The sequence below is a fragment of the Homo sapiens genome, chromosome 21 (genome assembly GCF_000001405.40).
Source record: "Homo sapiens chromosome 21, GRCh38.p14 Primary Assembly".
In the NCBI taxonomy this organism is placed as follows: Eukaryota; Metazoa; Chordata; class Mammalia; order Primates; family Hominidae; genus Homo; species Homo sapiens.
This window is the reverse complement of record NC_000021.9, coordinates 9661772-9686240: the sequence shown is the minus strand read 5'-3', so window position 1 is coordinate 9686240 and position 24469 is coordinate 9661772. Positions and strand designations below refer to the sequence as shown.

Below are 24469 nucleotides of genomic sequence, written 5' to 3'. Positions count from 1 at the left end.
AAAATCTATGAGATTTGCATAAAATGCACTCTGCAGCACCGCTCTCACAGACACAATGGCAACAGCCCTTTGAACTAAGTCCGTAAGTTTCCTTAATGGGTTACATCAAAATTTAATGGCCCAGAGCTGGGCCACTTAGGTTTACTACCTAGACAGATGTGTTGAATGCTGCTAATGGGAAGATTGTAAGGTACTGGCTGTATGATGCCCTTCTTTTAAATTCTGTAATGGATACAGATGCCATTGGTTAACAGTTTTTATTTCTTCCTTAACTAAAAGGGTTTTATAATAAGCAAGTCAACTATTTTTCTTCGGCAAGGACTTCAAGTACATTTCTGACCTCATCTCCCACTCTCCCTCTGTCCTTTCCATGAATGCCACACTGGCCTCCTTGATGCTCCTCAAAAATGCCAAGCTCCTCGGGGCCACTGTATTTGTGCAGCCTCTGCTGGAACACTGTGTACATCTGGGTTCTTGGAGCAGCAAACACCAGAATAGTATTTGCCACTCAAGAGATTATTTGGGAGAAGTGCATGTGGAGGAAAATGAGAAGGGGCTGCAGGGGTCTGGGCAGGCAAAGTCTTAAAATGCAGTGCAATTCTGAGAAACTTTTGGCAAGGCTGGTAGTAGAACCCTCCAGCCCAGGCTGACCAGCAGAGGGGTCCTTCATCTCCTTGCAGCAGGCCTGACTTTATACTCCGCCATGCTGGGTTACCGGCTGACAGTGGCAGATTTCAGGGCGGCAGCTGGCTGTTGGCCAGCCGCTAACAGTCACCAGCCCCCAGGGGCCACGAGATCTGACAAGCCCCTTCCCAGGGCCACCACGAGCTCTCTTGGTCTACAGTTCTCAGGACTGCTTCTCCTACGTTCAGTTTCTGTTAAATATCCCCTCTGTGGGGTCTGCCCTGTTCATCTCATATAAACATGTAAATAGCAACCCCTTCATTTCCCCTCACCTTCTACCCCATGTCAGTTACTGTTATCTGCTTTGTTTATTCATTGCATCAAGATACAACATACAGTCATCTGTCGGTATTCATGAGAAATTGGTTCCAGGACCTCCCCCAGATACCAGAATCCCTAGACGCTCAAGTCCCTGATATGCAATGGTGTAGTATTCAGCGTAGCCTATGCACATTCTCCCTATACTTTAAATCATCTCTAGATTACTGGTAACACCTACTACAATGTAAATGCTATGCAAATCGTTGTTACACTGTGTCATTTAGAGAATAATAAAAAGAAAAACTTTGTACATGTTCAATACAGTTTAAAGGGCTTTTTTTGCAAATATTTTTGACTCCTGGCTGCTTGAATCGGCAGATGCACAACTCACAGATACAAAGGACTAACAGTGCGTTTCCTTGTTGATGTCACATGAGCTCCCTTTAGCAACAGATAGAAGGACTAACTGTGTGTTTCCTTGTTGATGTCACATGAGCTCCCTTTAGTAACAGAAGGAGTAAGTGTATGTTTCCTTGTTGATGTCATGAGCTCGCTTGAGTAACAGATACAAAGGACTAAGTGTGTATTTTCTTGTTGATGTCAGGTGAGCTTGCTTTAGTAACAGATAGAAGGACTAACTGTGTTTCCTTGTTGATGTCACGTGAGCTCGCTTTAGTAACAGATAGAAGGACTGTGTTTCCTTGCTGATGTCATGTGAGCTCTCTTTAGTAACAGATAGAAGGACTAAGTGTGTATATATTAATGTATTAGCATAATATATTTATATTATATATTAACATACAATATTATCTTATTATATGTTACATAACATAACTAATTAACATGATTAAATAAATGCTATGACTTTACCTGTATATCGAATTATCTAGACTCCTAGAAACATGGTTGCAGGATGAAGACTTTACCCTTGCTGAAATTTCTGTGCCTCTCCTCCCTGCTTCCAGAAAGGCAGTGCTGGAAAATGCCTGTCTCAATGCACACTCAACAGCACTGTTTTTTGTTTGTCTGTAGTTTTTTTGAGATGGAGCCTCATTCTGTTGCCCAGGCTGGAGTACAGCAGCCTGATCTCAGCTCACTGCAACTTCTGCCTCCCAGGTTCAAGCAATTCTCCTGCCTCAGCCTCCCAAGTAGCTGGGATCACAGGTGTGCACCATCATGCCCAGCTAATTTTTGTATTTTTAGTAGAGATGGGGTTTCACCATGTTGGCCAGGCTGGTCTCGAACTCCTGACCTCAGGTGATCCACCCAATTTGGCCTCCCAAAGTGCTGGGATTACAGGCGTGAGCCACCGCACCTGGCCAGCAGCACAGTTTTTTAATCTCCATCATTTTGATAGTTAAATATATTTGTATCTTGTCAATTTATTTGCACTTTTTATTATTTGTATTTATAACAGCTTTGTTGAGGTAAAATCAATATAAAAAACTGCACATATTTAATGTACAATTTGATGTTTGGACATATGCATACACTGATGAAACCATCATTAAAATCAAGATTCATTATTCATGCTTTTGAACCTAGGTTTCATTTTTTATCTATTTATTGTTTCTTTTGTAGTAAACTGTCCAGTACTTGACCAGTTTAACTATAGAAAGGGCAGTGTTTTATATGGGAGGGGTAGCTTACATCTGTAATCCCAGCACTTTGGGAGGCCAAGGCAGGTGGATCACCAGGTCAAGAGATCGAGACCAGCCTGGCCAACATGGTGAAACCCCGTCTCTACTAAAAATACAAAAATTAGCCAGGCGTGGTGGCGGGCGCTTGTAATCCCAGCTACTTGGGACGCTGAGGCAGGAGAATTGCTTGAATCCGGGAGGTGGAGGTTGCAGTGAGCTGAGATCGCACCACTGCACTCCAGCCTGGGCGACAGAGCGAGACTCTGTCTCAAAAAAAGGGCAGTGTCTTCATTAATGATTTCATGGTGTCAATTATACAGCTATATAGATACACACATGTGTTTGTGTATATAGTGAGTTGAATTGTCTCCCCTCAAATGATATGTCCATCTGGAACCTGTGACTCTGGCCTTATTTGCAAAACAAACAAACAAACAAACAAAAAAAGTCTTGCCAATATTATAAAATTAAGGGTTTTGAAATGAGGTTATCTTGGATTATCCATGTGGTCCCTAAATCCAATAAGTGTCCTTATAAGACAAAGACAGACAAAGATTTGACACACACAGATGCACAGAGAAGGCCATGTGAAGACAGAGGCAGAGATTGGAGTGTGGCTGTCACAAACTACGGGACACTTGAAGCCACCAGAAGCTGGAGACGAGGAAGGGCCCTCCCGTAGGGCCTCCAGAGGGAACACAGCCCTGCCAACACCTTGAGTTCAGACTTGGAGCTTCCGTGGCCGTGAGTCTGTGAGAGAACCATTTCTGAATGTTTTGAGCCACCGAGCTTATGGCGCTTTGTTCCTGCAGCCCTAGGAAACTCTGTGTGAGTGAAGGTAATTGTGTCTCTCTGTATCTATCAGACTAGTGAATATCAGTGTAACTCAGTGTAATTTAACTTTACCGCCTCACATCCTTGCTGTCTGACCTAAAGATTAAAAATTCTCTCAGAACTTCTCTAGCTCTTGCTTCTATGTGGTAACTGCATTGAAATTTTTAGTACATCCTAAAAATTGAAAGATACATGGTAAGCCATGTATCTTTCCTGCCTACCAGTTTGTCATTTTTCACATAATAAAGCAAGGTCACTCAAAGGTATTTTTTTCTTGTCTCGCTACTTTACACATTCAACCATGTTTATAAGCTCAAAGAAAAGAGATGGCCAGTTTGCTAAAATGAAAATATCATTGAATCCTGAAGATTTCATTCTTCCATAAAAATTATCATATATAAAGATGACTAAGTATGATTTCAGGCATCACCTTTCATACAAGCCTTCTTCCCTAAGACCTATCCACTGCTCTTCTCCACTGTGGTTTTAATATTTTAATGTTTCCATAGCACTAGATTATGAGATCCATGAAATCAAGTATTGTGCTTCCCTGAGTCTCCAGGGTGCAGCCCTGGCCTTGAGACATAACCAGTGCTTAGTAAGTGCTTATAAGATAAATCCTCAAAACCTTAAAATGAATTAAGTGCTTGTCCACTAAAACATCCCCCTATGTTGGGGGGCTAAATTCAGACTGTACTGTATAGTTAGGAAGAGCACAAATGCAAATACATGGGGTCATAGGTAATTTGTTTCTTCAAAGACCATGTAGACTTCTCTTTGGCAATTGCAAGGGAAATTCTATCAATCATAGTCCACACATGGATATAAGCCATAAGTAACTCTTTTCCATGCTTGCTTAGCACAAAGCCTTATATACTCTAGATTTGGGGTTATTTTTTTTTTTTACAGTAATATATGTAAAGCAATGTCACAAATCTGAGCCCCACATGCATGCAATTTAAACACTGGAAACCAACTATGTGGAGAGTATAGCAATGGTTTGACTCTGAGGTAAGAAGCACGGTGAAAGAACTGGAAATAAACCCTGCATCTGAGCTTTATGAAGAAGCGATTATAATCAATACCAAAATGAAAAAAAGAAACATCAACAGCTACTGTGAACCAAGGTCTTCACAGTTTTGCTTCTTTCCACTAATCTTCCAAAGAGGTTATTTTGAGACGATATGTTCAAAGCACTATAAGCCATTCTTCTCCAAGAAGTGGTGACAATTACTTTGCTTCTTGCTTCCCACTCCTAAAAGGGAAATTTAATCAATATTGTCAGTTCTTACAAGAAAAATGGAAAACGCACACACATATTCAAGCTCTACTTCTATAATCAAATAAAACCATCAATAATTAATCAAAACTTGACTAGAAGCTCTTCCAGAACCACAAAGCTCACACAGCATCCCAGAGATAGATGATAGATGATACCATGATCTTTGATGTACACAGTGGAGCATTTGATAAAATGGTGATGTTTTTCTGCCATAAGTGGTATAATTACGCTATGTATCATATGCATCCATTTAATAATATCCCTGTTCACAGTCAGCCAGGCATTTCTCACAAGCTGGCATCTTCACAGGCCACTTGTTCTGCTGATTCCACTTTCTTCTTTAGCTGGGCAGGCTGCAGCCGCTGTTTTTTCCCTTACCAGGCAAACTGATGATCTAGTGCTTTCTTGCGTATTGAGGTTAGTAGATAACTAACATATTTTAGCACATTCATTATAGCCAGTTTTCCCCTAAGAAAAAATTGCACATTTGGGTCTTCTGCCTTGACAAATGTGGTGCTTCATCTTGAAAGTTGATTAAAATCATTACCTCTGTAGAAAATTACATGCAAAATGTATTAGTATCCAGTATATTCTGATAAGAATGCTTCTCATTCATAACTCTGATACCAACCTGCTCACCGCAAACAAAACAAAACAAAACAAAACAAAACAAAACAAAAAATAAAAGAGACATACACACACATGCTAAAACTGCATGCGAGCACTCATGGGAATGACAGTGTGTTTTTAACCAACAATAAAACTAAAAATTACTCATCAGTTAAACCATAGCTCATAATTTAAGAGAAGTTACATTTTGAAGTCCTGTTTTATCTCCAATTGAAATTTCAGAAGGCTCCAGAAATTCTATGGTATAAACTTTGCAATTTTAAAAATACATCATTTCAAAGCCAGTGGTCTGGAAGAAAATTGCCTATGCTGATGAACAAATATATTATAATTTTCACCAAACCATACAGCACACTTTCTTACATCAACTTTTTTCATCTCATCTCCTGATTCTCTCCCACAACCCATGTGTTAACCACACTTACCTTTTAACTTTTCTCCTAAAATATTAAGCCTTTTCCAAACAGTTTTGCTAGACAAAAATCCCCATTCATCTTTCAAGGTCTAGCTCAAGTGTTGCATAACCGTTGTTCAAGTTACTAAGGCTGTGTAACAAACAACCTCAAGACTCAGGTGCCTAGAACAAGCCCAGATTCTATCAGTCAGAGACTTGGACAGGACACAGCAGAAATGCTTGTATCTGCTCTGTCATGCGTGGCATTTCAGATGCAAAGATTCAAAGGCTGGAGGTGACCCAAAGGCTGTTGGTTGGAATCAACTGGAAACATCATTACTCACATGTCTGGTGGTTGATACTGGTTGTAGGCTGGGACCTCAGCTGGGGTTCTGATTTGAGAACCTTCATGTGGCCTCTCCATGTGGTCGGGCTTCCTCACAGTACGGGGGTCTTCGGGTATTCAGATTTTATACATGGTGGCTCGGGGCTCCTCAGTAAGTGAAGCAGATGCTGCATGATCTTGTAAGAAAGGAAAACTTTTCCTCCATCCTCTTAGGTTCTGCAGCTTAATTTGTGAATTAAACTGACAAAAGATGGACCAACGAATGAAGAGCATACAAATTTTATTTGTTGTTAATATTTTTATATGCATGGGAACTGCAGAGAAAGAACTAAAAAAATCCAAAGAAGTGGTTACACTTAGGAGCTTACCTACCATTTTAACAAAGTACGATAAATTGTGGGGAAGCAACCAAAGAAAAGGGGCTTGGGCTTCTAGGGGCATTAAATTGTAGGAAGGTAAATATATGGGAGAAACTATTATAGATAAGGGTTATTTAGTTGGGTTTCTTTATGTAGAGTAATCTTGATGCTGTCTCCTCTTCTTGGTATGAGAACAAGGGGACACCTTTATAATGGAAATTTATTCCTTGCTTTTAAGCAGATAAAGGAAGGGTAAACAGCTCTTCTCGCATCTTCTTTTTCTCAATTGCCTTCAGCTTAAAATAAAAATTAAAAATTTTAAAAATAAAATTTATGCAAAAGTAACATATATTAGGGTTGTATATTCTGATACTCTTCAACATTTTCTGGTCTAGCCTCCAGAGTCACTCAACATCAGCATCACTTTCTCTACATTCGGTTGGTTATAAATAAGTCAAAGGACAAATAAGACAAAAAAGTATTTGTATTGTTAATACTGAGAGGTGACAACGTGCTAGCAGCCCTCACTGGCTCTCAGCAACCGCTCTGGCAGTGCTCCAGGAGCCCTTCAGCCCGCCGCTGTGCTGTGGGGGCCCTTCTCTGGGGCTGGCGGAGGCCCGGCGGCTCCCTCTGCTCCCCACCAGGTGTGCAGGTAGAGGCGCAGGCGGGAGCGGGGCTGTGCATGCTCGCGGGCCAGTGCTGGTTCCGGGTGGGTGCAGGCTCAGGGGCCCACACTCGGTGTGGCCGGCCGGTGCCTACTAGGCTGCCGGAGCACCCAGGCTAGGTGCCGCAAAGTCTCAGGGCAAGTGCCATTGAGAGCTGAAGCCGGCTGGGTTTCTGTGTCGGGTGGGGACTTGGAGAACTTTTCTGTTTAGCTAGAGGTTTGTAACTGCATCGATCAGCGCTCTGTGTCTAGCTAATCTGGTGGGGACTTGGAGAACTTTCCTGTCTAGCTAAAGGATTGTAAATGCACCAATCAGCGCTCTGTGTCTAGCGAAAGGTTTGTAAATGCACCAATCAGTGCTCTGTCAAAATGGACCAATCAGCTCTCTGTAAAACAGCCCAATCAGGTTTCTGTAAAATGGACCAATCAGCTCTCTCTAAAATGAGCCAATGAGTAGGATGTGGGTTGGGCCAGATAAGGGAATAAAAGCAGGCTGCCTGAGCTAGCAGTGGCAACCGGCTAGGGCCTTCCAGACTGTGGAAGCTCCGTTCTTTTGCCTTTTGCAATAAATCTTGCTGCTGCTCAGTCTTTGGGTCTGCACCGTCTTTGGCGGCTGCTGCCCACTCTTTGGGTCCATGCTACCTTTATGAGCTGTAACACTGTGAAGGTCTGCAGCTTCACTCCTGAAGCCAGTGAGACCACAAACCCACCAGAAGGAAGAAACTCTGGACCCATCTGAACATCTGAAGGAACAAACTCTGGACACACCATCTTTAGGAACTGTAACACTCACCGCAAGGGTCCGTGGCTTCATTCTTGAAGTCAGTGAGACCAAGAACCCACCAATTCCGGACACAATACTATTGGATGTATGTTTGTCTGGTGTTTTCTTTGGTGAGTTTGTTTGTTTGTAACTGCTAAAAGAGTAGAGAGGAATGAGAGGGGGTTGAACTGCAACATCACAGAACACCTTAAGATGTAAGATTAAGGATATCTAATAGGCCATCTTAATTTGTGTTGCAACAATCCCCGATATGGGAGTATTGAGAGGGGCGTCCTTTAAGTGGTGATTGGATCACAGGGGTTATCCCCTTATGAATCAATCTACTCATGGATTAAAGAACTAATGGGTTAATGGCTAAACGGGTTATCATGGGAGAGGAACTAGTGGCCTTATAAGAAGAAGAGAGATCTGAGCTAACACGCTAGCATCCTCGGCCCCTTGCCATGTGGTGCTCTGAACCACCTTAGGGCTCTTCTGATTTCCCGTCAGGAAGAAGGCCCTCACCAGCTGCAGACCCCCATCCTTGGACTTCTCAGCCTTCGTAACTCTAAGAAATAAGCTTTTTAAAAATAAGTCACCTAGTTTCAGGTATTCTGTTATAAGCAACAGAAAAATGGACTAAGACAGTATGTCTTAAGTAAATCTCACAATTGCCTGTACGGTAGATATAAATAAATATTATTACTCCTATTTTACAGAAGACAGAATCAGAGAGGCTCAGCAAGTGCCAGAACTCAAATTCAAGTGCAACTCTGCCTGATGGAAACTCAGGTGATTTCCACTCTGCCTCCACCTGCATTCCTCAGCACCATGCAGTTGGTCCCCAGACTCTATGCTCCATGCTGCTTGTGTTTGTTGGTTGGCTGGTTTTGTGTTCATGTGTTCTGGCTTCTTCATTTTGGGTCTTTACATCTTTACATCTCTAGCAGTTCTTCCCATGTTGTGTAGCAGTTGTCTCTACATGACGGTCTGTCTTGTGAGGTTGAGCTCCCTGAAGGCAGCAAGCATGTAATTGGTAAATTCTCATCAGTTAGCCATGTCTGGAACATGGTAGGTATTCAATAAAGGTTTTTGCTCATTTAATCAACTGTTCATTAGCATTTACTGAACCCCTACTGTGTGTCCAACACTGTAGCAGGCACTGAGGATGGAGCGGTGGAGAAAAACAGGCAACACACTCTGCACTCCATCTAGTGTGCAGAAGACATGCAAATAGTCATATACACTAAAACACCTCCCTCAGCACACTGACACACTGCTATAACATGCAAATAGTCATATACACATGAAAACACGTCACACAGCACACTGACACACTGCTATAGCATGCAAATAGTCATACACATGAAAACACTTCACACAGCACACCGACACACGGCTATAACATGCAAATAGTCATACACATGAAAACACTTCACACAGCACACTGACACTGCTGTAACACGCAAATAGTCATATACACGAAAACACTTCACACAGCATACGGACACACTGCTATAACACGGAAATAGTCACACACATGAAAACACTTCACACAGCACACTGACACACTGCTGTAACATGCAAATAGTCACATACACCAAAGTCCTTCACACAGCACACTGACACACTGCTATAACACGCAAATAGTCATATACACATGAAAACACTTCAGACAGCACACTGACACGCTGCTGTAACATGTAGATAGTCACAGACATGAAAACCCTTCACAACACACTGACACGCTGCTATAACATGCAAATAGTCATATACACGAAAACACTTCACACAGCACACTGACACACTGCTGTAACATGCAAATAGTCACATACACCAAAGTACTTCACACAGCACACTGACACACGGCTATAACACGCAAATAGTCATATACACGAAAACACTTCACACAGCACACTGACACACTGCTATAACACGCAAATAGTCACATAAACAAAACACACAGCACACTGACACATGGCTATAACACACAAATACTCATATACACATGAAAACACGTCACGCAGCACACTGACACACTGCTATAACACGCAAATAGTCATATACATGAAAACCCTTCACACAGCACACTGACACACTGCTGTAACATGCAAATAGTCACATACACCAAAGTCACACAGCACACTGACACACTGCTATAACATGCAAATAGTCATATACACATGAAAACACTTCCCACAGCACACTGACACACGGCTATGTCAGAAAGGCATGCAGTACTCTGTGAGTGTAGGATGGTGTTGAGAGTCAGGAAAGAGTTGTGAAGAAAAGGGTATGTGAGTGAGGGGTCAAGGCCGAGCATATAGGTGGAAAGTCCCGGCAGAGGGAGCCGTGCAAGCATCCCCTCAGGCAGCAGGGATGTGGCACGACTGGGGGACCGGTGGCCGGAGGGCAGAGGCAGAGCCAGGAGTGTGCGAGCTGAGCATGGAGAGGAAGCCACTGCACCCTAGAAAAAGGCACTCCTCCCACGAACAGGAGAGTCCACAGAGATTTCTGCAAAGAGAGAAGCCATGAGTGCTCGTTCAGTGCCTACAGTGTTTGGGGCAGCTGTGCATTTTCTTCACAAATTCATTCCTTAAGAATGAATTTAAGAAACACTGCTCCATGCATTATACGAGACAGAAAATCCCAGTTAATACTAACAGATCCTTAGCTCGGGATTGTCCGGAGCAGGCACGCTGTCGGCAGGGGCTGCTCTGGGGTCTGTGGTGTCAGGGGCTCCCCAGAAGCTGCAGCACAGAAATGGGGGAGGCTGAGAGCGACTCAGGCCTCCTTGCAAATGAAGCTGAGGGGAGATACCTTTCCGATCATGCTGGTGATGAAACTCGCAGACACAAGTGACTAACCAATTGATAAGTATTGCTCACTACTCGCAGAAAATATAGATTTTTTTCTTAAAAATCATAGACAAAACACAGTTAATTAATTTAATGGTTATACCTTTCCTGACATACTATGTAACCTTGGCTTATATGCCTGGCTTAGAGATGTTTTCCAAAGTTGTGGTGTAACAAAAACATTTAAATAATGAGTATTCCGGTGGTATTTTTGAAATGGCAGTTACCAGCAAATAAACATCTGTTTGGACGTGGTAACAGGGAAACTACTCTGCATCCATTCACCCCTCTCAACAGTTGATTCTCCTGCAGCACAGAAGTCTTTCTTTATTTATGAAGCAAACGTCTTCTTCACTCCCAGGACTTCACCATTGGTAGGCCACCCTAGCCTGCCTCTAATCATCACTTCATCGTCTTTCACAACCTGCATTTTCCCTGCCCCTGATTTCTCATTCTGTTATTGACCTCTTGCACATTCCCCCTCTGGTGTGAATTACTTTTGCTGACTAAACTCAGGCATGGTCCCAAAACTATAATTTGAGCTCACCCCCATGGTGGCACCTCAGGCTGATTGCATGACCTAATCTCGGCAGAATCCTCCCAGCTCAGGGACCGCACTCTCAGACGGCAAGGCCAGTGATCTCTCAAATTCATCCCACGCAAGTGAAGACAGCTCTTCCCTCAGAAGACGCAGGCTGCAGCTAGCTTGAGGAGAGATCAACTCTTCCCATGCAAAGGCACGAATATACTGTGGCTAAAGTTTATTGGAATTTCCCTCTGATTAAGTATGTTTATAATTCCATCTGCAAAAACCAGCAGTAAGCTGAACTGGAAAGCATTACCTGAGATTATATTTCCATTTTGCCCCATTAAAAAAGACTAGAATTTAATTTCCAAGGATGTCTTAGCACAGATGCTTAAATCGAATGCGTACTTCCTTAGGAATGAAGAAATAGCAATGCATGTAAGGATAAGTAAGTCAGAATGAGAGAAAAAAATAGTTTTTTAAAAAAGTACAGGTGACTAAAGCAGCATAGGGCTAAGTAGGTTTAAAGGATGAAGACATTAATAAAGAGCTTCCTGCAGGGTTATCAACAGAAATACTTTTTCATAGAAATTAGTGGGATTTAAACACTGCATGTTCTCAGTTATAGGTGGGAGCTCCAAGCTATGCATTGAGCACACATGGACGTGCACATGGGAACAACAGGCGCTGTGGACTGCGGGGGGCAAAGAAGGGAGGGGCATGCATTGAAAAACTACCCAGGGGTACAATACTCACTAGCTGGGTGTAATACACCCATGTAACACACCTGCATGTGAACCCCCATATCTAAAATAAGAGCTGAGACTTTCAAAGAGGAGCAGTTACTTTGACTGACTTTTATTAGTAGTTGTAACTCTTTTCTTTTCCTGGAAACCTGAGTCCTAAATTGGAAGGTAGTAGCCACAGGGTACCTTAGTTCAGATAGTTTTTGAAGATAAGCAATTAAAATAGATCAGGGAATGGCTCCTTTTCAAACTTGTGAGCTAAGAATCCAGAAAGCAGGTTGTTCCAAGATGATGCTGTGAAAGAAAAAATTGGCCTTTCACTGGGGACAGGGTTCTTTCCAACCTTATGTCTGGCTCTTGTACTTTCTCTTTCATCTCCTTTGTGACCCCATGGACTCTCAAATTGAAATGAAGTAAATTTATTCACATTAAGGCATTAAACTACTAATGGCTTCATGTGTTCTCTCTTCCACTGGTGTTTGTATTTGATAGAAAATAATGCCCTAAAAAATGAATGGTTTAGGGAAGCTAATGGAAGAGATGAAGGCTGGAAGGGGCAGGTTCTCAATCACATGACGTTCAACGTGCTCAGCTACATAATCAGCTCAGAAAGGAGCCTGAACATTGATTCTCAAAGTGTGGGCCAAAGTCCCCTGGGACATCCTGAGACTTTTTCAGTGGCAACAGGAGGCCAAAATGACTTTTATAATAATACTAATATGTTATTCGCCATTTTTACCCTCATTCTCTCACAAATATACGTGGAATTTTCCAGAAGATTCATGATAGGTGACTTCATAACAGATTAAATGCAGAAACAGAATAGTACAGTTATCTTTTATTAAGCTACACATTAAGGAGATTTGCAAAAATGTAAAACAATTTCTCTCTTCTCAACACATTTATTTGGTTTTAAAATAAATGTGATTAATATACAATTAAAATAAATTACAAAATTAAATATAATTTTAGAACTAAATAAATTAAAATAAAAATTAAATTGGAATTTAATTTTTTTTTTTTTGAGACAGAGTCTTGCTCTGTCTCCCAGGCTGGAGTGCAATGACACGATCTTGGCTCACTGCAACCTCTGCCTCCCAGGTTCAAGCAATTCTCCTGCCTCAGCCTCCCGAGTAGCTGGGACTACAGGCATATGCCACCACACCCAGCTAATTTTTTTGGATTTTTAGTAGAGATGGGGTATCACAATGTTGGTCGGGCTGGTCACGAACTCCTGAACTCAAATGATTCGCCCACCTCGGCCTCTCAAAGTGCTGGGATTACAGGCATGAGCCACTGCGCCAGGCGGAATTTAATTTTTTTTAATTTTCATTAAAATGTTATTTATTTGAAAGGTTGGTAATTATTTAAAATTAACTAATAAATATTTTAAATATTTGTCCATTTCAAATCTTAATATGATAAATATGGTTTTATATACATATTTATATAAACAAATCATAAATTTATTTATATATTTATATTTTTTACTATATATTTTATAAATATTTATTTTTATCCCATAAAAGTGAAAGCTTTTCAGGGGGCGCAACACATTTTAGATTATAAAGAAGTTCTGAGAACAAAAAGCTTGAGAACCACTAAACTGTTCTTATTCTGATCCTGACTGTTTTCTGTGGTTTACCTGTTTTAAGACTTCTTGGTGATCTTTGATTGACATATTCATCAAATCTGCATCCCACATATTTAATAAAGACAGGAAGAGAGAGAGGGAGGCAAAAAAAGAGGAAGGAAGAAAGGAAAGGGAAGAATAGATGAAGGGAATAAAGGAAACCTAATAAACTATCCACAGGGAATGTACTGTAGGGGCCACGGGGATGTGTATTCAATGCACACCAGGTTCACGGCCAATACCCAGCTGTGCTCATGACTGAAATGCTTCCAGCAGATATGCTACGCCCTGGATATCTTCCACATAAACCTGACCTGTGTTCGTTTCCTGAACACATTGTAGACAGATTTACTCTTAAGACGTTTTGTTTGACCTACCCTTTGTTTTATGACAAAAAATGTAATTGCTGGTAGTTAAATGTAGAAAGTTTTATGTGAAAGTCTGTATCTCCATTTTATCTTGAATTTGAAAATAACTGGTAAGACAGTCACCAAGGACCTGTGACAAACAGTGGGCTGGAGCTGCAGAGCTGCTGTCCCTTGCAGCAGGGCACCAAGCACAAACGTCCCAGAGTCACCTCTGACCTGCCCCAATCTTCCCTGTTATCTACCCCGGCAGGACTCTGAGAGGAGGCTAATCATCTCAAGATCATCTTTAAATCTCTTCGGGCACATGAGAACAATGTTCTGTGCCAACAAAATATAAATTAAAAGGCAAAAAGTCAGCCGATCACACCACACAGTGGCAGCCCTCTACATTTTGGTCTGTTTTTAGCAAGCATTTTTTCTCATGTTTAGTATTACGTACTTAGGATCATATATGATACACGATTACACAAAAATGAGGATGTTTTTGTATATCCACGAAGTCACTGTATTTTCCATATTAGAATAAGTGTTTGACATGCCATTAAAAATGCTTTTAAACATAGTGTTCAGTCCTGCATAATTCCCCACTGTGTGCATGCACCATAGCTCACTCCGTGAATTTTATCTGTCAACATTTAGGTTCATTTTTTCTTACTCTAAATAATGATGATGAACATCTTTATAAAACAGCTAGTTATACTTAGGATAAATCCTAAAAGTGGGTGAAAGAATATACATACATTTAAAGTATTTACTATGTGTATCTTCTTTCCCTTGGATGGAAATATAAGCAGTTTTTTATTTTACTTTTTGTAAAATTTTCAATTAAAAGTTTATTTTTTCAAAATTTATGTTCTGTATTAGCAAATAGAAACAAGCAGCTAAAATTTGAATCCCTAAAGTACATTTTAAGTGTTACTTTAAATATATTAGGCTGTCTATGCTATGTGGCACAAAAATATAAAAACTGTGGACTTGGTCCAAATGTTTGGGTGATACCATTCTTTGTGGGCTGGTGTTCTCATTTTTTAACTCCTATGATGGTTTCAGAATTTTTTGGCACATCCATTATTGGGACACTTTTGGACTATGATGTCAAGGTGACCATTCTAACAGGCTAGTTTTTTAACTGCAGTCAGTGGCCACATGAGAGGCTTTGTAAAAGTCCTGGACGAAATTCTCACTTTAAAAATTGTATGTCTGACACTAAGTGGACATTCAAGTGTGCTGATAATGAGTGCGGGGAAGCTTTCACTAACTGAGAAGAAGGGCAGAAATTAGCATGAAATCATGGAGTAGGTGTGGGCAGCAAGAAGCCAAGCACAACCTGAAAGAAAAGGGAACATGATTAAGCAAATTCAATCCCAGGGCAGCTAAGAAAACCACAGACGATGTTGCCACCAAAATGGACATGTGACTGATGCAATATTTATATACACAAATATAAAGCAGAATTTGCATTCTATCATCTTCAGGTTAAGCATGGATCAACCCAAAAACAAGGATTCTATGCTACAGACTTAGGAGAAAACCTTACCATAAGAAAAACTACTTCAAAGTCATCTGGACTAACAATCTGATCCTCATGGCCAATGCATGCTGAACAGAACACAGGGCAGCAAAAAGTGACCCCAGAGAAGGAAGGAAGAGGGAACGGGAAAGGAGAGTTTGGTTATCATTGCTCTTGGAGAAATAAGATGCATGATGTTTTATTAATAGGCACAATTCCTTTATGTAAGTAACCTGATAAAAGGTAGTAGGTTGATTTCATGCTCTGCTGAAGAGAAGTGGGATGGCTTTCTACCCGGAAGCCACTAGGGCTCTTTTAGGCACTGCATGGAGCATATTTGCTTTTTTCCTTTATATAAATTGCAAATAGCATCTTAGTCATATAAAAGAGTTGGTCCAGCTCCCTGCAAAAATGCTCTGTTATGTCCAGTGTGCATTTCATATATTTCACATGCTCCAGGGGCTGTCAGCTCATGCAGTCATATCCAACATTGACATTGACTATGGCAGTCACAATGACAGCAGTTTTGTTCTTTCATGCCATTTGGTACTCCACAATGCACTACTTAACCCAAGACAATTTTCAGGTTTCACTGATATCTTTGAATCCCCTTAGAAAGAGGAAACCTCCCTAAAAAGATCTTAGGACATACAACCAAGTATGAATTCTACTTAGAAAATCTTATGATATGTGACTAAGTTACATAAAATTCTCATATTTTAGCCAGTTTTATTCATCACAAAGTTTTGGAGATATAGATTCCATTGTGTTCTGATTCACAACTGCTATTTAGTCATTCAATTAATAAATCTGTACTGAATGCCTAGTTGTGCCAAGTGCTTCTAGGCCCTGGTCATAAAGCAGTAAAGAAGACAAACAGGACTTTCTGTTCTCATGAAGAAAACTAAACAGGGCAGACAGAGTGCCAGCCTGCCATGCAAGCATGGTGATCAGGGAAGGGCTTGCCAGAAGGCCCATGAGCAAGACCTGTAAAAGTGAGAGAGCCACCCACAAAGATGTTGGAGAAAGGATGTTGCAGACAGAGGCCTAGAGGAAGGAGCATAACCTAACATGTTTGAAGAGCAGCAAGCAGTCAAGAGAGGGTGAGCAAAGGAAGCACATGTGAGGTGGAGGAGGAAGGGGCTGGGGGCCACCAGATGGAGGGTTTTTGGTTTTTACTGATTGTGGTGAGAAGCCATTGGACATGTTTACAAAGGACTGATATTACCAGACCTGTCTTTTAACAGGATCCCTATGTAATGAATAGAAGACTAAGAAGAGCCAATGGAAGAGGGAGAACAGTTAAGAGACTGTTGCCATAATCCAAGTGCAAGGTGGAGGTGACTTGGACCAGGAGTAGCAAGATGAGTGGTGAAGAGGGGTCAGGTTATGGATCTATTTGGAAGATAGAATCACAGACGTTCTGACAGATTAAATTAAGCATAGTGGAGAAAGAAGGGAGTGTAAGGATTATCTCCTAGGTACGTGGGTATACCCATTTGGAGTTCAAGGGTAAGGTCTGGACTAAACCTTTGAATCTGGGAGTTGTCAGTGTATGGATGGTGCTTAAAGCTATGAGACTGTTTGAAATCCCTAAGGGAGTACATGCGGGTAGAGAAGATGTCAGAGGACTAGCCCCTAAGTTGTTGCAGTGTGTAAAGGACAGGATGAACAGCAGGAACCAGCAAAGCAGAGGGAGAAATGAGGCCAAAGATGAAGGAAGGAAGCCAAGAAGCCTGTGGGGTCATGGAGCCAAGTGAGAAAGTGTTTGAGGGTCAGGCAACAACCAGCTGTGTAAATGCTATTCATGGCTAAGTGAGAAGAGGGTTAAGAATCGATCATGGGCTGTAACAACATGGAAGATATTCACATTTTGAAATGAGCAATTTCTGTGAAAGGACAGAGGAAACTGTCAGACCTAGTGGATCTAAGAGGAAGAATGAAGACAAAAATTGGAGATGGTAAATATGAAAACACTTTCAAAGAATTTCACTCTGAAGAAAGCAGAAATAGTGCAGTAGTTTGAAAGGAACATAAGATCAGGACAGGTAGTGCCAGATGGGAAAATTCAACTGTGCATGTTGATAGGAACACTCCAGTAGAGACAGAAAAGTCGACATTGTGGGAGGTAGAAGGAGAATTGCTGAAATTCGAGAGAGACATTGGGATTTAGTGCTCCAGTTTAACTTATGGGTAACAAAAAGGAAGACAGTGTTTGGACATAGAGCCAGGTGGGGGGTGATGAGGAAGTAGCAGTTTGCAGAAGCTCTCATCTTATTCTGGTTTTGGCTTAAATTTGTTTTTCTTTCAGTGACATATACCCCAAAGTCATTAACTGAGAGTGAGGATGGGAGAGAAAACATTAGAGGCTTAAGAGGAGAGAGAATCTGAAGGAGCCTCCCAGAAACATGAATGAGCGAGGGAAGGCATTGGAATGGCAGGTGTGCTAGGAGCCTACTAGCGGTTAGCGACAGGGCCAGCTGCATTGGTGGCTTAATGTGTGTGACTGTGGAGTCACACATAATTTTTGCAATTTGTAAGTTTATGTTATTTCTCGTGTGTCACTGTTGCCTGTTTTATGGTTTATAAGTCACAAATTATTTTTAAAATGAAAACACCTTAGATTTTAGTGCATTTAATGAGGCTTTTTTAAAATGTCTTCTGAATTAACAGCCCCACACTTTCATTTTGCCCTGGGCCCTGCAAATCAGGCAGCCAGCCCCGGTTAGTGATCACAAATGTAAGGGAAGAGCAATCAGCGTCACTGTGGGCTTCTCCAGCCACACTCAGCTCTGTGGAGAGCTGGATTTACAAGGGATAGAGTTGTGCCAGGTGGTTACCATGAGGAGAGAGAGGGACAGGTTTGTTGAGAATATATAAAAATGATGATCCTGAAAATCAACTGGGAGTAAATAGACCCCATCTGGCTCCAACTCAATAAAACATATACAATATACATCAGTGTATATTGTAAGTGTCACATCATCCCTCAGGGAAGGTGCATTCTCCAGGGATCTTTGCACAGGATCTAGCAGTGGCTGAGCTATCTCTCTAGTTCTTTGATAGAAGCACCTGAAATTTTACCTGCTGTTGCTGGTTACACGCAAACCTCCTGTTAGTGAATAGTTAATTACTCCCAGAGGATGCAATACCTGAGTAGCTCCCAAAGTTTTCTGTGGGAAAGTTATCTTGGAGGAGCCAGTGTATTGAACTTCTTCAGCTAACAAATTTCTTCACCATGTGCATGACTATCTCGTTACAAGTTCCCATAGGCATTCAACACATTTGCTTTCTTTATTATTTTGTTAACATCAGACCATTTCCTAACTCATTACAGTTTATCCTATTACATATTACCATATGTGATGATTACTTTTATGTGTCAACTTGACTGGGCTACAGGGTGCCCAGATATTAAGCCAAACATTATTCTTGGTATGTCTGTGAGGGCTGTGAGAGTTTCAGGAGGAGACTAACATTTAAATTTATAGAGTAAAGCCAATTGTCCTCCTAATGTAGGTGAATCTTATCCAACCAACTGAAGGCCTGAATAAAACAAAATGTCTGGCCCTCTTGTGGAACAAGGGAACTCCTTCTGCCCGGCTGCTTGAGCTGGAACATCACCAGTCTTTTCCTGGCTTCTGACTCAAATGGAAACATTAGATCTTCTGGGTCTTGAGCGCACTGGCTTTTGAACTGTAAATCACACCATCAGCCCTCCAGGTTCTCAGGCCTTCAGACAGGCTGGAACTATACCATCAGCTCTGCAAGGTCTCCAGGCTTCAGCTTGCCAACTAGAGATCACAGGACTTCTCAGCCTCTATAATTGTGGAAGCCAATTCCCTACAATTAATCTCTCTACACACACACACACACACACACACACACACACACACACTTCTGTTTCTTTGGAGGATCCTGATTGATATACTGTTATTCCTTAGTTTGCAGTTATTACTCTCATGTTTACAGTAACCACAATGTTCCTGTATTCCTCAGCCATCATACAACTGCAGGCTGCACTCCAAATTCTTGCAAGCTTAACTGGATATAACTTCACAATAAAACCCAGGTATAAGAATAAAAGGTGTCTTGCCCAAATCCCTCTGCAGAAACAGTTTAAACATCTGCTATGCTGATAGTTGCTCAACAAAAGTAATTATCATACTTTCATATTCAACAAACATAAAAAAAATTCTGTGAGAATTTTTACAATTATTAACTTTTTTAATTCTTAAAATATTCTAGTGAATAAACCATTATTATGCCCATTAAAACATGAAGAATAAAGAGGATAAATAACTTGCTTGAGTTCATACATTTAGTATAGAGAAGAGAACATAGGATTTGTAATTAAAATCTTGCTTTTCTGCTGTTATAAGTTACGTAAACTCTCTAAGATTGAATCTTTCATCCATGAAGTGGGAATAATACTGGCTACTGCAGGTAGTCATGGTGAGAATTCATGCTATTCTATATGTTCAAAGCCCAACACAGTGCCTGTTTTTTAGAAGCTTAACACCTTTTGTTTGTTTCTATTTTCCTTTGTCTCTCTCTCCTAAGCTCTTTTTGTCTGCCTTGTGAAAGACACTAAATTACATGGATGTCTCTGAAATAAGAATTAATATATTTTTTCAAACTCTGATTTTTTCAAAGCTGATAATTTATTCCAGGTCTCTTGTTTTGCAGGCTTGGTATTTGTTTTCTAAATCCAAATTTGAACATCCTTAGAAGCATATTCTTTCTAGTTTTCCATAGAACCCACTCTTCCCTGCTATCCACATTTAGTCCGATTCATACATTCACGTTACCTTCCTGTCCCTACAAGGTTTGGAATTTCAGCCCCTGCAGTGCATCCTATGATTCCGTCACTTCAATGACTTCAGAACTTTTTGGTTTGGGCACAATGATCTAATTTTATTTTAAAACTTTGGAGAATGACACAAACAAGAGTTATTATTTTTAACAGTTCAGGAATTCATATGTTCTCATGGTCAAATCAAACTTGTTTTCTTTGCTTCACCAACAAAGGTTGTCACATCCGCTACACCCAAAAGCCACAGCTCAGCAGTCATTCACAACCGTCAATATACTTATCAACTCTAAAACAATCAGGAGGCGGATTTTAAATTTACAACGAGGTACCTCATTTTCAAAGTATTATAAAATCTGTTCTCTAAGTCATGTGTGGTGTCTTTTTTTCTTTCTTTTCTCTGGAGTGCCTTCAAAATAAACATTGTAATTTGAGATGTGGACCATATAAAATGGACCAAATGATAAGATAATGGGCAAAAGCATTTCCAAAGTGAGACCAGCTGTCGACCTTGTCTTCGGAAGGGAGGTTCTGGCAAACTTCCATTGGCCCCCAGCCTAGTTTTGTTTCAAACTGATTAGCAAACTTTCTAGTCAATCAATCCTGTCCCAAATTAAGTTGCTGGTAAGAAAAAAGGAGCAGCCTGATTTGCATTACAAAGCTCTCAGGCATCTAAGAGTTGAGATGTGACTATCCTGAGGTTCCTTCATGCCGAGTAAAAGCAAAGGCTTCTCTTCTCTCCAAGTCAAGAGGAAGAGACAAGTAAGCCCAGAGCACTTTAACCTACTGAGGAATAGGTTAAAACTGAGCATTCAGATGTTTCTGTATTTGTGGGCATATGTAAGTGAATAGGTTTTACATAAGCTGCATTTCTATTTTCACAAATACCTTCACTAGCAAATTTTCACCTAGTTCGAATAGATTTCTGGTGTTCTGAGCACAACAGTCTTTACCTATTACCCTTCTAAAAGCTAAGGAGACACCACTTAAATTAAGGGTGACTGATAATTCTCTTTTATTACTACATCTGTATTCCTATTTATATACTTTTCATTAATGCTCTTGGAGTCAATTAAACATATTAGTTTAAGCTTTTATATTTTATAATGTTTCAAGAATTATGATGTGAGTTAGAACATATTCCAATCCACAGGACAACAATACTGAAATAAAATTCTCTCTTTCTCCAGTTTTCCGGAGACTTTATGAAAATTGAATTTTCTTTCAAGTTACTGCCTGAAAGTGTATTATTACCAGAGTAACAAGACAAAATTGTAGCCTTAGAGCATATAGCAAAATTTGTATTAAAGATGAGAGGTGACAATGTGCTGGCAGCCCTAGCAGCCCTGGCTGGCTCTTGGTGCCTCCTTGGCCTCGGCGCCCACTCTGGCCGCATTTGAGGAGCCCTTCAGCCTACTGCTGCACTGTGGGGGCCCCTCTCTGGGCTGCCTGAGGCCACAGCCAGCTCCCTCTGCTGTGGACAGGTGTGGAGGGAGAGGCGTCAGAGGGAACAGGGGCTGCTGTGCACGGGTGGGAACCGGGTCTGCTGTGGGCATTGCACCCGCACTCGGAGCGACTGGCCAGCACCGCTGGCCCCAGAGAGTGAGGGGCTTGGCACCTGGGCCAGCAGCTGCAGGGGGTGCACTGAGTCCTCCAGCAGTGCTGGCCCACTGGCGCTGCGCTCAAATTCTTGCCAGGCCTCAGCTGCCTCCTTGTGGGGCAAGGCTTGGCACTTGCAGCCTCCCATGCCTGAGCTTCCCCCCTGCCATGGGCTCCTACAAGGCCTGAGCCTCCCCGAGGAGCACTGCAACCTGCTCCACAGCTCCCAGTCCCATCAACCACCCAAGGGCTGAGGAGTGCAGGCGCATGGCGCGGGACTGGCAGGCAGATCCACCTGAGGCCAGGTGCGGGATCCACTAGGTGAAGCCAGCTGGGCTCCTGCGTCTAGTGGGGACTTGGAGAATCTTTGTGTCTACCTAAGGGATTGTGGATGCACCAATCAGCAACCTGTGTCTAGCTCAAGGTTTGTAAATGCACCAATCAGTGCTTTGTGTCTAGCTAACCTAGTGGGGACTTGGAGAACTTTTGCGTCTAGCTCAGGGATTGTAAATGCACCAATCAGCACCCTGTCAAAACGGACCAATCAGCTCTCTGTAAAACAGACAAATCAGCTCTCTGTAAAATGGACCAATCAGCAAGGTGTAGGTGGGGCCAGATAAGGGAATAAAAGCAGGCTGCCTGAGCCAGCAGTGGTAACCTGCTAGGGTCCCCTTCTGCACTGTGGAAGCTTTGTTGTTTTGCTCTTTGCAATAAATCTTGTTTCTGCTCACTCTTTGGGTCCACACTGCCTTTGTGAGCTCTAACACTCACCGCGAAGGTCTACAGCTTCATTCCTGAGCCAGCCAGACCACGAACCCACCAGGAGGAATGAACAACTCCAGACAAGAGGAAGGAGCAAACTCTGGACACACCGCCTTTAAGAACTGTAATGCTCACTGCGAGGGTCCATGGCTTCATTCTTGAAGTCAGTGAGACCAAGAACTCACCAATTCCCGACACAAAGAGAGGCCTAAGAAACCATCTAGGCCAATGCTGTGGTTTTGGAGTTCAGGACATTGTGGCTTAGAGACAATAATGGATCTGCCTAAAATCACAACACAAACTAGTACCAGTTCTTGAATGAAAATGTAGGTCTTCTGATTCCTAGCCAAATGCTTTTTATAAGAATGAAAATTTTGTGTCCTTGGAAGGCCTAAGGCATTTTCCCAGAGTAACTTAGAAGAGTCTGGCTCCATGAATAGTTTAGTAATATAGAAATAAGATTTTTTAAAATGTCTAAACTTGACTGTATGATCCTGGATATAAAGTATAAAATCAGAAGACAGATGTGATGTGAGGCTGGCAACAACTCGTGCCATGCTCTATGTACCCACACTAAAAGACAATATCCTTTCCACCTTACATACTTTATGGCAGTATAAGTAGCATGTTAAGTATGCAAATCCTACAATGCTGGCAACATTTCAAGACTAGCTGTGTCAGGGTGTTCATAAGCCTGGGAGCTCACTAAGCTACAGAGCTCTTAAAACGTAGAAGTAGAAGAGGTAGAAAAAAAAAAGGAATCACACTCCTTATTACTGTAAACCAAAGAAAAAATATTTACATTTTCAGCATTCTGTTGGGTAGGAAAAAAGCTTTTCCTATCCCATCTTACATTTTGTGCTGGAGCCTGTGAATTAAATTGAAAAAACAACAGCAACAAAAATTAACAAGAGGCAAAAGCATACACATGTAATTGATGTCTTAATGTTACATGCATGGTGGCTACACATAAGATAAGTGAAAAACTCAAAACACTGGTTAGACTTAGGGGTTTATATACGATGTTTGTAATTCTGGAATAGATCCTACTGACCCTGAAGCCGGCCCAATACTCCTATAGCGTGTTCTTTCGTATAAACATAGACATTGACTCTTCCGCTCTTAAAGCTTGAAACTTGTATTTGTTTCATCTGAGTTCTTCCCTCAGGAAAGGACCTTCAGGCCTCTCAAAAAAAAAAAAAAAAAAAGCATTAAAGAACTGAAACTCACCAGATGAGGCCACCAGATGACTCCTTGTTCCTCCCTAGTTCGTGTTTCCTACACATTGTTACATTTCTTGCCTGTTGTATAAAACCCCATTTTTAGTCAGTCAGGGCGATGGATTTGAGGCTGAGCTCCCATCTCCTCAGCTGCAGCACCGGATGAAAGCTTCTTCCCCGGAAACACTCACCATCTCAGTGATTGGCTTTCTGTGCAGTGAGCAGCAAGCAGGACCTAGACCAAACCCATGGCGTTTTGGTAACAACCTCACCAAAATAGATGGGCACACACACAAGCCTTTAAAGATACAAAGTTAAACGGATAGTATGGATCATTCAGTATAGAGGAAACAGCATAGAAAATGTATAGAGATGGAAAATTACTAGATATGTTCCAGGAGCAACATGCAAATTCCACTGCCAGTTTTGGCTGTGAGGTCAAACAGATCTGATCTGAATGTTTGCATTCCTCCAAAATTCATACATTGAAACCTAATTCCCAATGCAATAACATTAAGAGGTGGGGTCTCTAGGAGGTGACTAGGTCATAAGGGTGGACCCTTCATGAATGGGTTTA

At 41.5% G+C, this 24469-nt stretch overlaps 1 long non-coding RNA gene across 1 annotated transcript; it reads right to left on the bottom strand.

The window, feature by feature from the left end:
- Nucleotides 1-6335: 6335 nt before the first annotated feature.
- LOC105379514 (uncharacterized) lies at nucleotides 6336-24052 on the bottom strand. Its single transcript, NR_135513.1, has 4 exons — nucleotides 23903-24052; nucleotides 8672-8869; nucleotides 7888-8011; nucleotides 6336-6726 (listed from the first exon to the last, which is right to left on the bottom strand). It is a non-coding gene; the product is annotated as an uncharacterized LOC105379514 (long non-coding RNA).
- Nucleotides 24053-24469: the final 417 nt, after the last annotated feature.